The sequence below is a fragment of the Homo sapiens genome, chromosome 11 (assembly GCF_000001405.40).
Source record: "Homo sapiens chromosome 11, GRCh38.p14 Primary Assembly".
NCBI lineage: Eukaryota > Metazoa > Chordata > Mammalia > Primates > Hominidae > Homo > Homo sapiens.
Genome location: NC_000011.10, coordinates 127,381,620 through 127,399,224, shown reverse-complemented (window position 1 = coordinate 127,399,224; position 17,605 = coordinate 127,381,620). Strand labels below are relative to the sequence as shown.

At 41.6% G+C, this 17,605-nt stretch overlaps 1 annotated feature.

Annotated features, from left to right (window-relative positions):
• Positions 6,192-6,750: an enhancer, noted in NCBI's record as "OCT4-NANOG hESC enhancer chr11:127262370-127262928 (GRCh37/hg19 assembly coordinates)". NCBI's record gives its function as "activates a minimal SCP1, AML or CMV promoter by ChIP-STARR-seq in primed H9 embryonic stem cells {active_cell/tissue: H9 hESC(primed)}" and the evidence as "EXISTENCE:reporter gene assay evidence [ECO:0000049][PMID:30033119]".

Sequence of the window (17,605 nt, the reverse complement as noted above, 5' to 3'; positions counted from 1 at the left end):
TGTGGTCCTTCCATGAGACATGTATAAAAACCATCCTGGAGGAGCTGTGGATAATTCCACCACCCCTTGAGGTTACGGCCATGTCACAACCTGGGAATTTCAACTAAAAGTAGCTCCAAGTGAGTGAAAAGCTCCAAGGTAGACTTCAGCCTATGCCAGCAGTCCTTCTTGCAAATATCTATCAGGGTTAATGGGGTTAGTAAGGACCAGTGCAGGTCCCCAGCCTGATTCCTGGGGGCATTGAGGCCATAAAAACTATGACCGGCCACTGATACCATGGAGTGAGACAGTATCTACATGCCAATACCTACGAGATGAGAGAATGTGAATGGATCAATGTAAATCAACCACTCCTGAAACACACACACACGTTGTATATCATACAAATGCTAGGCACATAGCACTGTTCAGTAATATAGTATTAATCCTATTAAAAATGCTCTGGCAAAATTACCCTGTTGAATTTATATTTGGAATAAGGGTTCACACATTTAACAAATGAGGACACTGAGTCATATGGCATAGGAATGACTTCCACAGGGCTTTGTGGTAGTGCAGAAGTAAGGACCAAAATATTCTCAGTAAATAGGTGCCCCACTAGAGGGAAACCACAGTTCTATACTAGGCAGCAGGCTGATCTCTCTGGGATGGGAAGACAGGGGGGTCCTGAATCTGGATGTAGTCCTCTCTCTGCTTCTTACCAGCTGCGTGACCTGGTACAAGTTTACAGGATGTTCCCTCACCTCGATTCTTTACTTGTAAAATAGAAATAATAATTCTACTACCACAGGATGGTCATGAGGGTTAAATAAGAGATTGGGCATAAAGTATCTCAGATGACACATACAAATAAAAATATGCCAGTTTCTTCCCTCGTTTTGTTTTTATTTGAAAAAAATGTGTACCACTTCCCCGGTTCTGTAAACTTTGAGGTTAGGAGTGATAGATATTGTAGAAATCCAAAGTGATTATTTGAGCTCTCGCTTTATTCTGATACCCTGAAGATCTCTTTAGAAAAGCCCCAGCCGGTGATGGGGGATCTCATTAGGGATTTGCATTATCTTGCTCCTGCTAACCTCCAGTCCTCCAAAACATAGGAGGATTGCGCTGACACATGATATGTTATACAAACAGGCAGCTTGCATTCAGGCTAAAGATTAAACTGAACCTGCCTATAGCTAGTGTCTTTGTTTACAACTCCCGCATGTTAACCGTGGCGATTTAGCAAGCCTGGGTGCTGTAATTATTATTACCTGAAGCAAATAATATAGTCAGCACTTTATAAGAAATGCACGTTCCTCACCCTTCCTTTGGTTCTCAACGCAATGCCATTAATTATGATAAATTTTTCTGATATTTGTGTTACTGTGGTAGGTAATTTCTTAGGTATTCCTCTGCAATTTGGCATCAATCATTGTCCACTTAGCATAAATTAGGGCCGAGACTCCATGACTGAATTTCACCACTTACTAAGCCTCCTTCAGGGAAGCTAATTCCTTTCTTAAATATGTATTAAATTATTTTTAAGAGGAATTTTTTGTGTGTTTTTAGCAGTGGATGTTTTCAGGGTTTTAATTCTGTCATTTCAAATGCACAGAACTCACATGGGGATTTTTAGCCATTCTAGCTTTCAGCCCCATGAGAAGAATGCACCTCCTGGAAGAGCCCTGGAACTGTCATTTGCAGAGCCCTTCCAAATCCTTTTACACAATGCCAATTAATATATAACACCACCGTGTCTAATTGTCTATTGCCTTCTCCATATTTACAACTCATTTAATGAACCAGACAGGTTGATTTTTCAGTCATGGAAAATCTGTGAAAGTCCTGAAGTGTTGATTGCTTCCTTTTGGTGAACTTACATTCTGAGTCAGTCCAACCCAGTGTTTCCAGAATTGGTTCCTTCTGGTGGGTTCTTGGTCTCGTTGACTTCAAGAATGAAGCCACAGACCCTCACAGTGAGTGTTATAGTTCTTAAAGATGGTGTGTCCAGAGTTTGTTCCTTCAGATGTTTAGATGTGTCCAGAGTTTCTTCCTTCCGGTGTGTTCGTGGTCTCACTGACTTCAGGAGTGATGCCACAGACCTTTGCAGTGAGTGTTACAGTTCTTAACAGTGGCACGTCCAGAGTTGTTCCTTCCTCCCGGTGGTTTCGTGGTCTCGCTGACTTCAAGAATGAAGCTGCGGACCTTCGCAGTGCATGTTACAGCTCTTTAAGGTGGCGCATCCAGAGTTGTTTGCTCCTCCCAGTGAGTTCATGGTCTCCCTGACTTCAGGAGTGAAGCCGCAGACCTTCACAGTGAGTGTTACAGCTCTTAAAGGTAGTGTGGACCCAAAGAGTGAGCAGCAGCAAGCTTTATTGTGAAGGATGAAAGAACAAAGCTTCCACAGCATGGAAGGGGACCTGAGTAGGTTGCCACTGCTGGCTCAGGGTGGCCAGCTTTTATTCTGTTAATTGGTCCAACCCACCTCCTGCTGATTGGTCCATTTTACAGAGTCCTGATTGGTGCATTTACAAACCTTTAGCTAGACACAGAGCGCTGATTGGTGCATTTTTACAGAGTGATGATTGGTGCATTTTCAATCCTTTAGCTAGACACAGAGCACTGATTGGTGCATTTACAATCCTCTAGTTAGACAGAAAAGTTCTCCAATGCCCCACTCGACCCAGGCAGTCCAGCTGACTTCATCTTTCATCAGGAAGGAGAGGTATAGCGGTGACTCTCCATACAGCAGTCAGGTGACATGAGGAAACCAGGAAGAGCTTACTGAGGAAACATATCTAACCTCTTCTTCCTTCCCTCCCAGAGATTTAAAAAAAAAAACAAAAATTCAAGTTTTCCCTGGAAAACTGGTTGACAGCTCTCCACAGTAACATGGTCATACAGAGGAATCTCTTTGCTTATCTGAATTTGTACTTGAAGTTAGAGAAGTCTTATGGCTTCCATGATACAATGATTTATCAGTAAGCGTTGATAGAGCGATGTTCCAGAACTAAATAAGGCATTGCTGACACTAAGCAAGGGTGGGATATGCCCCACCAAGGAGCGTGCAGGCTGTTGTGCTGGGAGACTTATGCTCCTGAAACAGAATATGAAAATGACAATTCCCACAGCTCAGTTGCCTGCAAGTGAAAATAGCTTTTCTACTTAAAGAGAGACAGAAGAAACCATGGATCTGCAGAAATTAGTGAAGACTTTTAAGGAAGGTGAAATTTGAGCAGCAGCATGAAGAATTCTTGTTGGGGAAGCTCAGTTGGATGAGGTGGGTATTAGGAGGACCCATCAACATGAGAACCAGTAAGAAGGTGAGAAGAAGAATGGCTCATAAAGTGCTTCACGAGCCAGTGAGAAGGTCAGCCTACACTGGGGAAAAAGTCTGACAGGAGAGTATAATTCTGGATGGGTTTGCTGAAGACAAACCTAAAATATTCATGCTCTTTCAAACCTAGGACCTTAAAACAAACAAACAAAAATTACAATTTGAAGGAGAAGCAGTGAGAACTTCCCGTTATTAGATAAGACAGACACTCAGCCAGGCGTGGTGGCTCACGCCTGGAATCAGCACTTTGGGAGGCCGAGTTGGGTGGATCACGAGATCAAGAGATTGAGACCATCCTGGACAACTTAATGAAACCCCATCTCTATCAAAAATACAAAAAAATTAGCTGGGCGTGGTGGCACATGACTGTAATCCCAGCTACTCAGGAGGCTGAGGTAGGAGAATCACTTGAACCCGGGAAGTGGAGGTTGCAGTGAGCCAACATCGCGCCATTGCACTCCAGACTGGGCGACAAGAGAGAAATTCCGTCTCAAAAAAAAAAAAAAAAAAAACCAGAGAGAGATACTCTACTTACCGCCCCATAGAAATACATATCTCACAACTAGAAAGCCTTAAAAAGCCCTGGCTATTTAGCAAGGGAAAACAAAAGACCACTAGACATTAAGGTTACAAAACTCAAACTTCTTATCTTACAGATAAACCTGGGCTCTGTGCCCTTCAGTGACTCATTAAGCTCAGATAGTCTGTTAGTGGCTGAGAAAAAACTCTTTCCTCACCCTCGATTCAAGGCTTTATTTATTTCTCTTTTCAATACCCTCCACTCACTCCAACCTGTTCTTTTCTTTAGGAAGGAAATCCTTCCTAGATATTGTTTACCGAGGTTGTCTCTCACCTAAAAATCCTTCTTCGCTAATGTCACCTCCTTAAAAATGCTTTGCTGATTGTGGGACCAGTCATGATATCTCCCTCTCTTCTAAACTCATGGAGCTCACCACCTATTGCTCCCATGGCTCTTGTTCTAGTCAAGGCTTGTTCTTAGTTGTTGGTGTACTTATGTTCTAGATTATACATCTGTATTAATCTGCTTTCACACTGCTAGTAAAGACATACCCAAGACTGGGCAATTTACAAGAGAATGAGGTTTAATTAGACTCACAGTTCCATGTGGCTGGGGAGGCCTCACAATCATGGCAGAAGGCAAGGAGGAGCAAATCACATCTTACATGGATTGTGGCAGGCAAAGAGAGAAAGAGTTTGTGCAGGGGAACTCCTCTTTTTTAAAATTATCAGATCTCGTGTGACCCATTCACTCTATCACAAGAACAGCTCAGGAAGGACCCACCCTCATAATTCAATCACCTCTCACCAGGTTCCTCCCATAACATGTGGAAGCTGTGGGAGTTACAATTCAAGATGTGATCTGGGTGGGGACACAACAAAACCATATCAACATCTCTCTAGGATGAGAACCTCACGTTGTTCATCTTGGTATCCCCTGTTGGCTTTGCACAATGTCTTCACATAATAGGCTCCCTAAATACTCAGTGAATTTGTTGAAGTATAGTACCAAATGTATTGCTAGCTACTAGATCCAAGGTACTTGAGCCACAACTAAAACGGCAAAGTATAAAATATAGCTAAGGTTGATGCCTCTAAAATGCATTTCAGAGCATTTCCTAGGATATGCATCCCAAAACAATAAAAACTGTTGTCATTGTTATTGCCTACAATGTGCTAGGTACTCATTGTGACTCAGAACATTGCAAATGTATTAGTATTCTACCTAGAAAGGAGCTCCCATTTGAGACAAGATATCCTCCCCTCTATACAACCTCTGTGAAATGCTGGCAGGTCTGATGGATTTGCCAAGATAAGCTGGCTTTGGTGGGAACTGAAACAATTTGTCAAACTCTAAGGAGTTGTGAGCATGAACATATATGGCAGAGAAAGTTTAATGTTTCCTGGGAAGTGATTCCAGAACTTTTAGCCAAGACCAGGCAAACCAGAAAGGAAATAGCCCAAGGACACTGAAGTGGGCAACACAAATCCCCGTGCAATTGGCTCTGGTTAAAGGTTGACAGCAGGGAAGATTGACATCCTTGATTTGTAGGCAGTGAAAGTGCCAGGTTCCCATAGAAATGGGCCCCAGCCTCAAATTAAAACAGCTATTTATAGGAATGAAAGGGGAATTGAATCCACAAACCACCAATCCAGCCCGTGGCCTCTCTTCTGAAGCTTCAAGTGTTTGGGGAAAATGTTTGCTGAGTCAACAAGTAAAGTGAATCGGAGAATTGTGTGTTACAGCAATGCCCACTGGTGAACAGATATGGTCCTAGGGCCTCTGTCTTCAAGGAGACTGTCAACTACAACAGGGGCTGAGATCATGGATAAAGGAATAACATATGAATTAATGTGAGAATTCACTGGGAAGAAAGGGCAAATTGGAATTGATCTACATGATCTGGAGAAGAGTTCGAGGGTGAAGATGGGCTGAATACAGAGGGAGGGAGATATGAGGCCTGGAACTGCTACAAGTGATTATCTGCCCATTGTGAGCACCTAGACTTAAATCTGTATTACCTAGCATTGTGATAGGGATTCATCAACATCTTTGCCCAATCCTCCTTAGGTTATTACTATGGTTGGAAATGCCAGGATGGTTTATTAATATGCCTCTATTGAACTGTCAGTGAAAGTCATAACAACAGGTCATATTTATCAGCTCTATTTAGAACAAATATTCTAAACTTTTTCCACCTTGTTTTGTTTAATCCTCATATAAGTGCCAAGAAGTAGAAAATAGTGTTATGAGAAAACTGAGACCAGAGAGGTTAGACAGCCTGGTTGAAGTCTCATAGTAAATAAGGCAGCTGGGAGCCTAAGCAAGCCAGTCTTCTCCAGAGCTGAGACCCCTAAAGTTGTACAGCAGAGCTCCAAGGGCCAGGACCACCAAGGGCTGCTACAGTAGCTGAAGATGTGTGTATGGCAGGCACACCTACTGAGACTTATTCACACAAATCTAATCCAATATGGTAATCAGCACTTCACTCTCCATGCAAAGACCAAGCTTCTTTTCTCCCCAGCCTGTCTGTGGCAGGGGATCTTCCTGTCATGTAGAAAGGCAGCGTAGCTCACTGCTTCTGCTGCCTTTGTTTATGTCTCTCACTCACTACTGTTGTTTTCAACTCTGCTGGGGGCTGATGAGGGGAACAGAAAGAAGAGAGGAATGCTAAACTTGTGCATAGAAAAGTGCTTATCTCTCAGTGGCTCACACTAGTAATCCCAGCACTCTGGGAGGCCAAGGAAGGCGGATTGCCTGAGCTCAGGAGTTCCTGACCAGCCTGGGCAACATGGTGAAACCCTGTCTCTACTAAAATACAAAAAATTAGCCAGATGTGGCGGCGTGTGCCTGTAGTCCCAGCTATTCGGGAGGCTGAGGCTGAAGAATTGCTTGAACCCAGGAGGCGCAGCTTGTAGTGAGCTGAGATCAGCCACTGCACTCCAGCCTGGGCGACAGAGCAAGACTCTGTCTCAAAAAAAAAAAAGAAAGAAAAAGAAAAAGAAAAAGAAAAAAAAGAAAAGTGCTTATCTCATGGAACTATCTTAAGGCGTTGATTCTATAGTCTTGGGATGTTTTCTGGGGTTCTGAGAGTGTCTCCTGCAGAGCCCCTACAAGGCAATTTTCATATGGAGGACCATACATTCTGCTCCTTGTTGGTAGAGTCATCAGTTCACCCCACACAGACTTTTTCTATGGGGATCTGCACTCCTTCAAAGTCTACTAGGAAAGAATTTTAATGCCCCCAAGCTGGCTCTTATTCTATGGGGCTACCGCCTGGCTCATAACCCCAGTGAAGTAGCTGTGGTCTCCTTTTTCCTAAGCAGCTCGTAAGCCCTCCTCTGGTGCCCTCTTGATTTTCTAAGTGTGAATCAGATGAGGGCCCACCGTATCCCACAACTGCCAAAATCATACAGGAAGTTTTGCAAGAGACCTCTGGGCATGGGCCAACAGGACTCCCATGGCGCGCTCAGAAATTCCTTTTACAAAAACCTCCTAAATATTTGACTCCTTTCTAGCGGCTCTGCGGGTAAGGAAAATTCAAGAGTCACACAAAGAAATCCTAATTGGCAAATGCTCCACAGTGAGCGGGCATCTCATTTTGGAATTTCAAATTGATTGTATCTTTATGCTTCAGTCAAAAGTTCTAATTCAATATCCGCATTTACTGAGCACAAATCATGAGCCAGGTACTTCTTATAAGTCTTCTAGATATGTTATCTAAAGTATGCTTCAAAATAATTCCATGAAGAAGGCGAAACCAATATCCATATTTTAAAGAAAAGGAACCTGAGACCTTGATTCTAAACTCAGTTCAGTACAAAGTCTAAGCTCATAACTATCTCAAGCAAAGGACCTGGACATATTCAAAAGTAGTCTATTTTGTTATTGGCACCATTTTACTATGAAGCTCATTCAAATTTGTCTTTCCTGCCTCCCAACTCCATTAAAATAACTTTGTTGAAGGTAATCAGGGTACTCCCTGTTGCCAGATCTTAGCATTTGACACAGTATGAGCACTTCTGTCATCTTGAACCACTTTCCTCCCTAGGATTCCAAGACAACACACTCTTCTGATTTGCCTTCCACCCCACTGGCTGCACCTTCTCAGTTGCCCCTTTGACAGTTCTCCACCTGACCTCTAAATGTTGAAATGTCCTAGAGCTCAGTCTTGAGCCCTTTTCCTTTTGTGAATTACATATTCTCCCTAGGCACTCTTATTCAGTGTGATGCCTTTAGAAACCATTGCTACGGTGATGACTGCCCTATCTAAATCTCTCAGGCTGACCTAAGTACCAAACTTGTATATTTCCACTTGGAAATATTCATAGACATATCAAACAAAATCTGTCCAATGTGGAGCTGATGATAACCTTTTCCTATCCAAACATCTTTTTTCTGTCTTCTTTCTTTCCATTTTTCCCATTTAATAAAATGGCATCACAGTGCATCAAGCCAAATACCATTGTTACATTGCACATAAATATACTGTGCCCTCATTCTCCACCTTTCTTCCATCATCAAATTCCATTGGTTTTGCTTTCAAAATATATGTCAGATACTTTTAATCCTCTCCAACTTTATGGCCATCACTCTAGTCTGAGCTACCCTTGCTTCTGCAGATTATGGTGACAGACGTCAAATAATCTCCCTGTTCTAGCGTTACGACATCTGCTCACAGGCAGCCAACGTCATCTCTTAGAATTGTGAATCAGAGTGCATTACTCCCTAGATTAAACTCTGTCAACACTATCCTATGGCATTTCAAATACTGTCCACACTCAGTTTTATAGCCTACTTCTTTCTTCTTATCTCAAATTTCTTCTTGTCTCTAACTATGCTTCAATTCCACTGCCTTCCCTTTATTTCTGAGCAGCTCTGGAAATTTGCATTTGCCATGCACTTGAAACACCCTTCCTCCAGCTTTTTGCAGCAGGGCTGGTCCCTTCTTCAAATATCAGCTCAGGGAGCACCTTCTCCCAAAGGCCATTGCTGTTTTATTTGAAATGACTTTTTTCAGTTACTCTCCAGCTCATTGATCTCTTTGTGGCCATCATAATCTTATCACAATCTATAAATAGTCTGCTTATGTGTAAATCTGTTTAATTGTTGGTCTCCATGTCGGTAAATAAGGTTTAGGGGAATAGGGATCTTGTCTATCTTTTTCATTATTATATTCATGTAACTTCTCATATGCTAACTAATCAACAAATATGTTTGCTTGAGTGAATGAATGAGTGAATGAATAAATGATGTATAGATAGATGGAATATACCACAGAGCAGGTAACATATGACATTCCTGATTAGAATCTGACAAAAATGAATAGCCCATGAAACATTAAATAGAAATATTGACCCTGTTTTCAACTGATCCCCAATTTTTCTACAAACTGTGCCCCCCCTTCCCCTTTAGAAGCTGAAGCCACAGCACTCTTTCTAGCTAGTGTTCTGGAAGGAGCAACAGAGCAGAGTACTCTGGGCATCTGATGAGCCTGAGGCAGCCCAGGGGAATGGCAGTTGGAGGAAAGTACTACTTCCATCAGAACAAAAGTCTCCAGTAAGGCTTCAGGTTCCTGAACGATGACAGCACCGAAGGCTCCACTTGGAAGATTTTAATCCGAGAAAAATGGCTCTAATGCATAACCTGCTGTGGGGATATTTATTTGGGAGCAGATTGAGCTTAAGTCAAATACTCTGCATGTACAAATCCAGTTGATTAATACATAGCCACAGAATTTTGCTTTTTCTCTGCAATACACTCAGTAAAATGAATGGCTTTTATTATTCTGCTTATTATTTTTTATCAGCAAAAGTTAAAAAAAAAACGTGATTTCTCCCATCCCACCCAAGCTGTAAAATGAGAGTGGCAGTGTGATTATACACTGCTGGAAAGAGATGCAATTGTAGAGAATTATAAATCATATTCTTTTGTTTGGTTGGCATTTTTTGTTTATTTGTTTCTAATGCAAAGAGCAGGAGATTTACCATAATTTGCGTTCTATAACCTGCCGTACATGTGACAGGAGAAAAAAAAATCTATTAGCAAAAATATATTTTGCCTTTCTAGACCAAAAGCAAAATAGCACCGGGTTGAAATACTCATCTGTTTCTTCTCCTAGGGCTTATTCCTTTTAGTGACAGCCCTCCACCTTTAAAAAACAAACAGACAAACCACAACTCTTGGGGATTTTCTCAAGAATAGATTGGTCAAAATACAAAGCTTTGTCTTCTGGTCTACCCTTTGCAGATCATTAATAACTGCAGTGATGCCCTTCTTTCTAAGGAGGAGAATTATTTCTCTTAGGTTTTGTTTGTTAAAAAAAAATGTGAAGGACTAAGTGTATTTTGTACAGATTCTGAGAGTAGAACAATATGCTGGGAAGTACTTCTGCAGCATTATGTGCACCCAAGGTAGGAATACTAGGTAAGGGCTAATTCTTCAAGTGGGTTTATGTATGCTTTACATTCTGAAACCACATCTCGTGCCAGTATTCAAGCATGTGAGGGAATAATGCATGAATGGTTGAGCAGGTTTTGTGATCATTTCCTTTATATCCACTTCAGAGCAAGCCAAGAGGCTATATATTTAAATTTTAGTATAAAATCTTTAAGCTACACAATTGGAAAGTCTTTGAACCTCTAAAGTTAATAAGACATGAGACACTGTTCCTAAGGAGGTCTTAATGTTATAATCTATCCCAAGGAGTTTCAGTTTTGTGTTATCTATCCAATGACATGCTCAAAGCAGATATAAAATGAGTCAACCAACATGTCACTTTGTGTGTCATTTATGCATTTATATACAAGGAAGTACTGAGATACATACATATGTAAGTGGTGAAGATACTCATAATAAAAGAATGGTCAAAATGGGATACAGATACTTGAGATTTTTTATGGCAAAATAAGTTTCAGTCATGTGTGATATGATACATACATTTGACAGAATAAAAACCAGGAAAAGATAGGGTGTGTTGGTTCTAAAGAAGCCAATATTAAGCATGATGTCCAACCCGAGATCTGAGATCAGAGGTATGCAGAGGAAGAAAGGGGGGTTGGCATAAGAAGTCAAGTACTAAAAGTTCTCTAGGAACTAACATGAGTTAAGCAGGAGAGCTTTTGCTACAAAAGAGGAGCTGAGGGTAAATAACCAGGAAAATACCAAAAGAATCTGCTGAGGGTAGAAAAACAATTTTTTGTGCAATCCAGTATAATCTTCCTGAGATCTGTTCTCCATCCTAGAGCTGTACTCACATAGGCTGTAGCTCTATGGCATCCTCGAAGCACCACCTGCATGCTGACAGTTTTCCAGGACAGGTTAATTGCTGGGTTGATATGAGTTTGGTTAAATCAGGAGGAGATGGTGTTTTAGTGAATACACACACACACATGCAGACTCACCAGCACTTAACTTCAAAAATTTTATTAATGCCATGTTGTTCTGCTAATCCATTGTCATATAATAAAGCAAGTGAAAATGTACTATTTTTATTATGCTTATTGAATCGATGCATATGAAATTTGGACAGTGTGCAGCAAGGATGGCTTGTGCAGTTGCATGGTGTCTGGGGACTCAACTGGAAAAATTCAAGGCCTGGGTGGTTTGTTGTCTGGGGCTGGAAGTCATCTTGGAGGTGCCTGTGATCACACATCTGGCACTCGATGCTGGCTGCTTGCTGGGACTTCAGCTGAACTGTCAACCAGAACACCTCCACATGGCTTCTCCATGTGGTCTCTCTATACAGGCTAGTTCAGGCTCCCTCACTGCTTGGAGGCTGGGTTCCAAGACAGAAATCAAGGAATGCATAGCCTTTTTCTTTTCTAATCTAGCCTCAGAAATCAGTATTACTTCTCATACATTCTATTGATTGTGGCAGTCAAAAAGTTCTTCCCAGGTTCAAAGGGAAGTACGTACAGACCACCCCTAATGGGAGGGATGTCAAGGTCCCGCTGGAGGAGAAGCTGTGAAATATAAGAGATAGTTGTGACCATATTCAGAAAACACATACTGACTTATCAGCTCATCAGCACGAAGACTGGGGACAATTTACCAAGAGTACAGCAATATAGAGCATCTTCATTTTTAAGAAATCCTCAATATTAAGCTAATAATAAGATATTTAAAATTATCTCACCCAGCAGAGTTTGATGCGACCGTTCAGTAAACCAGTGGCCTCCCCCAGTTCCCTACTTTGGGAAGTTCCATCTTACCGCACTGATGGGCAATTGTTAAGAACCAAATTACTGAAAGACAAGGGTGGCTCTACAACTGGTTGCTTAAAAAGGCTTATGACTCATGTGTGTACTCAGGAAATCATGAAAGCAAGATGGTGTGTGCAGCCTTCAAAGGGGCCTGGAGGCATGATGGAGGCTGGTGGAGGAAGTTTTAAATAAGCAGATCTCTTAAAGGGAGACAGGATACCTTGGTACAGGGTGCACTAAGCTTCACAGTTACTGAGGGATCGAGCACCAGGAGGATGGTCTTCATATCCACCTCGGTCACTGCCAGGACACTGGGAGACATCAGCATTCATGTGGACCATCTCCAACATGAGCACCACCTGGACTCTAAAACTCATCATCTCCAATGGTGTTTGCCATTCCCATAGGCTACCACTTCCCATAATGACATCTCAAGCCTTGTTATCACTCGCAACTGCTGTATCTCAGAATCTCCCATCCTCTTCTTACTATTCATGTTCTTTGTACTCATAGAGACTTTCAGTCCACTAACCATCTATTTTCAACTAATCTGTTGCCCCTCTCTTTTTTTTCTTTCTCTTCTTGTCCATCTTAAATTACCTCATTATTATCTATCTCAGATAACAAGGTCTATCTTTTTCATAATATTTTTTACCAATGCTCTTAAGCTCTATTCCTCCCTTTTTTAACCATTCATTTTTTAGAAACCAAATCTAGGAAGATTCCTTTATTCCCACCCTCTTATAAGCCCTCCTGGGGAAATGCTTGAATGGGGGAAAAGAGAAAAGGAGAAAACTACCTAGATAGAAAGAACAAGTCGACTAATATTTCAAAAAGAGTATGTAGCCTCATTAGTTTACACAATATTTTAAAAATAAATGTACTCATTACTGTAAAGAAGTTCAATGTACTATCAGGACATGTAATCATGATCCTAGCTCTTCCTTCACCAAGAGCCCAAAGAGTAGCCTGAAAGCTTCCCATTGTTAAAAAATGAAGTTCATCCTCTTCTTGACATTTATACCTCAAGTTGGCAAGCTGACTCCCATCAACCAAAAAGTATAGGTGGCTTAGCCTTCATGCCTCCTGTATAAACATCTCAGAATCTTGCCATCTGTGACTTATTCTTGTTTCAAGAGCTCCCCTAGAAAATGGTTTACCTTCCTCTAATTTTGTCTTTAAAAGAATAACAGGTTTTACATGTTTGTGATAATGGGGTAAAGTCAGAGAGAAAAGTAGAAAGCTCCCTAAACCCAGCCTCCTCTTAGGATAGACATTGGCTCTGCCTTTGCAGCCCAGCACCAGCCAGCAGCCACAGCTGCAGAAATGATCATGCGTGCAGATGATGGTGTTGAACCAACCTGACATTCATCCTCTGCTGTGCTTTGACAAAGAACATTAATTAAGGATAAGTAGTCTTACTCCGGGAATTAATGAGAGACAAATATTGGCTTCGAATATGGAAAAGATATGCTGGTAATATTCTAAGCCACCAATAAGAATCAATGGCAAATCCTGAGTTCTGGCTCCAAATGCCTTTTCCCTTTTCCACCAGAATGATCTGATCCTCTACACCTACTGACCATCAGCTAGAGACAATTGCCCTGTCCTGTTGTAAAGTCGGTACAAATGGGAACCTTGCTTCCTCATTTGAGCACTTAAGAAAAGTCTACAACCTTCTCCCTTTCAAAATCTGCTCTCCTCCTCATTTATCTACCTGCATCAAATCTGTCATTCTCCAGGTTCTAGGAGAAGCAAGATAAACACAAGGCCCCACCATTGTGTATGGTCTGTCAGTTGCTAACATGGGCCCGTGGTGGCTGGTCCTTCTATCTGTATTAGAAATCGTAGCGATTCATTCAGAAACCGCTGTTCCTTCCAGGCAAATGTGAGATAACGCAGTTGGCCCATTAACATTGCAGCTGCATAGCAGATTAGACACATTGTGCGGTGCTGCCTGGTTAAAGCATCCACAGCCGCTTATGGAATTAGGGGCTGGCACCACTGCAGTGAGCTGGTGCGCTGTTTACAATCATTCCCCAACACAGACAACACAATCGTGATTTTCTGTGTAGACTGGATGGCTGAAAACGTATTCCACCAAGATGGTACTCTTTCCAGCTCCAGAGTAAGTAAATATTTTTTAAAGCAGAGTTACAGAGGCTTTTCACTAAAGTAAAAACAAACAAACAGACAAAAAAGGATGGCCTTTATTGACTCTGTCAAGTAAGGAGACTAATAACTTTCTCAAATAAACTGTGTTTTAATAAATACAAGGCTTCTGATTGGTTGCAGTGTATCCTGCAATGTCTTAGAGGGCAGGAAATTGGTGTAATTCTCCTACTGCAGCATTCAGCATCAGGACATATGCCATTAGGCTCTTTGGTTTTAATTTATCTTTAGAAATACATTCTTTTTTATTAGAAATACAAATATTTCATAAATATCTATGGATTAATGTTTTAAAGATTTTTGGGAGAAATGGAAGACCAATACGCAGAAGCTACTTCCATTTTTGCTACACTTTTTATTTTTTATTTATTTATTTATTTATTTTTTGAGATGGAGTCTCTCTCTGTCGCCCAGGCTGGAGTGCAATGGCACGATCTCAGCTCACTGTAACCTCCACCTCCCATGTTCAAGTGATTCTCCTGCCTCAGCCTCCTGAGTAGCTGGGACTACAGGCGCCTGCCACCACACCTGGCTAATTTTTGTAGTTTTAGTAGAGACAGGGTTTCACCATGTTGGCCAGGATGGTCTCGATCTCCTGACCTTGTGATCCACCCTCCTCAGCCACCCAAAGAGGTGGGATTACAGGCATGAGCCACTGCGCCCAGCCTACACTTCTTAAATGTAAGGGAGAAATGCTCTTGGCACAGACCAAGCATATTTCCAAGCCCTCACTAGGGCTAGCATCCTTCGTCCTCTCAGGGCTGTGCAAGGCATGATGTGGAGGAGCTCCAGGTGCAAACATAACTAACAGAAACTGAAGAAGTTAAGCCAAAGATGGCAAATACCTCTCCCAGGTTTGAGGCTAAAAGTTAATCATGCTTCTCACATTTCTAAGCTTGGAACAAAATAAAACCCAGTATAGCGGTCAGAGAGACCAAGGAAATACTTAGCTTTATTACTGATAAAACATATTTAAGAATTCTTCTCAAATGTGTTGCCACGCTGAGTTTGCTAATACCTTCCCTAAAGTGACATTCTCACCCTATTGTCACAGGACATCACAGACAGCCCTCTGCTGTAAGTGCAGGCTACCACTGCAAGGAAGAGCAGAGGAGCGATGTATCCTGGGGGCAGCTTGGCTCATGGTTTCTTGGAACTGGCTGCACACTGGAAGCAGCTGCGGAACTCTGAAACGGTCAACACCCAGAGCTCCACCCCAGATGAACTAAGTGGGACCTGGACTTGGGGATTGTTCAAAAGCTCACTAGGTGATGATGATGTACTTTTAGGATTGACAACCACCAGACTCAATCAAAAGAGACAAAAAGGAAGGAGCTGGGGAGCACATTCTCACTTATTTCTCCCAGTCTCACTAATCACAGGAGTTTCTCTTCTTCCCAGGAAAATGAATGAGTGAAAAACGAGACCAAGCATCCTCTAGGTCTACACTACCATAGTCAAGACTCTTTGGGAGCAGGTAGGTTGGTTCAGCAGAAACAACCACCACACCTGGTCAGGTGGAGGGGCGTTGTTCCCTCTTTCACTGCTCTTGGCATCTGAAAGCAGGGACCTAGGTGGCGGCCAGTCTCTAATAATCAAGGCTCCTATTTCAGGTATAGGCATAACACTTTCAATCGTTCATTTCATACCAGCTCATGAGGGCAGAAAATTGTTACACCCTGTCTTTGCACAAGACATTTATGGACCATGGAAAGCTGAGATTTAGTTCTCTACTCCCTGCACCCCTCTGGCAACTGGATCTCAATTCTGGGCAGCCAGTCAACACGTCAGGAATCCACTAAAGCAAATCATTTTGCTTCTCCACAGCAAGCTGACTTCAGTAACCACCAAGAATTCATTACTGCTCTAGTTTGTTTACACTGGCTAGGAACAGACACTGTTGTGAATTACTTGGAGATACCCCTTTCCCTACAAATTAGTTTCAAACTATGCTTCAAATCAATAGGCCAGCGACAGGAGTTTCTTCTTTTCTCTTTCTTCTTTAGGCAAATGAACATACAGACACTTCCCTTTAAAGAGCATATCCAGTCAAAACAAAAATGTTAAGTATAATTTTGGTAAACCAAATCCTACTTTACATTTACTTGTATTTATTTGCAAAGGCATATTTTAGCTTTACTTTGATGGTTTTCCAGTTAAAAGCATCACCTGTCTCTTTACCTTTAAATATATCTATCTGTCTTCCATTTCTGTTGTGTGGCTTATGTATGATCTGTAAGGAGACACTTGAATGATCTAAAGAAAATGACTAAATGACTCTTTAAAATAAACTTTTAAATTTAAAAGTTTGAATGAAAGTTTTAAAATTAAAGGGATAAGTCCCTTTTTCAAGTACTAATATAGTAAGAATGTTGATTATTGTGTTTCATTTAGTTTTGTTGTGCATATTAAGAAGGTAGCACCAATTAAGGTTAATCTGGCATATAGTTCAAACACCAAAGCCATGATGACTGGTGCTTCATTTCTATTTCTTTTTCTTATCACCCAGGCTGGAGTGCAGAGGCATGATTTCAGCTCACTGCAACCTGTGCCTCCTGGGCTCAAGTAATTCTCTCCTCTCAGTCACCTGAGTAGCTGGGACTACAGGTGCACGCCACCACGCCTGGCTAAGTTTTTTATTTTTTGTGGCCGTGTTGCCCAGGCTGGTCTCAAGCTCCTGGGCTCAAGTGATCCATCTGCCTCTGCCTCCCAAAGTGCTGGGATTACAGGCATGAGCCACTGCGCCTGGCCTGGCCCTTCGTTTCTAACACAAATCCATTCAACACTTAACATGTTGGCACAGGAAGCAAAGCTGAAAGAAGTAAAAATCCCGTAGCATTGCGTTATGTTGCCCATTCTAAAGGGGGAACTTAGAAAGAGCAGGAGTTACAAATAAGTCTTTTTCTACATCTTAGTGGAAGCAATATATAATAAAATGTTCAGCTATATCCTGCAGACCAGAAACGTTTAAAGAGGCTCTGCAAATGAATTGGCCATTTGGTGAGTTGATGTGAATCTTTCCTGGAATACCCAGGGTAAATCTTGACCAAAAGCTCGGTGCAAATGCTGAAAAAAGAGAAATAACGAATATTTTATGCTGAATGGTGGCCCTGTACCACAATCTACTACAGAAGTCAGAGGCGGAAAGGGGCTGGTCTATAGAGATAAAAGAGTTTGAGTTTATTGGGTTTTGTTTTTGTTTTGGCTCATGCAGTTTTAATTTGAGTTCTGTTCATATGATTCTCTAATTTTAATTAGAATGATTTTAATATTGTTACTTTGCCTCTAGACTTGAAAATATCCCAAATGCAAGAGTCTCTACAGAAATTCTTATGTAACTATCACATGTCTTCTGGACTGGACTGGACATGACTCTGGTCATGCCTCTAG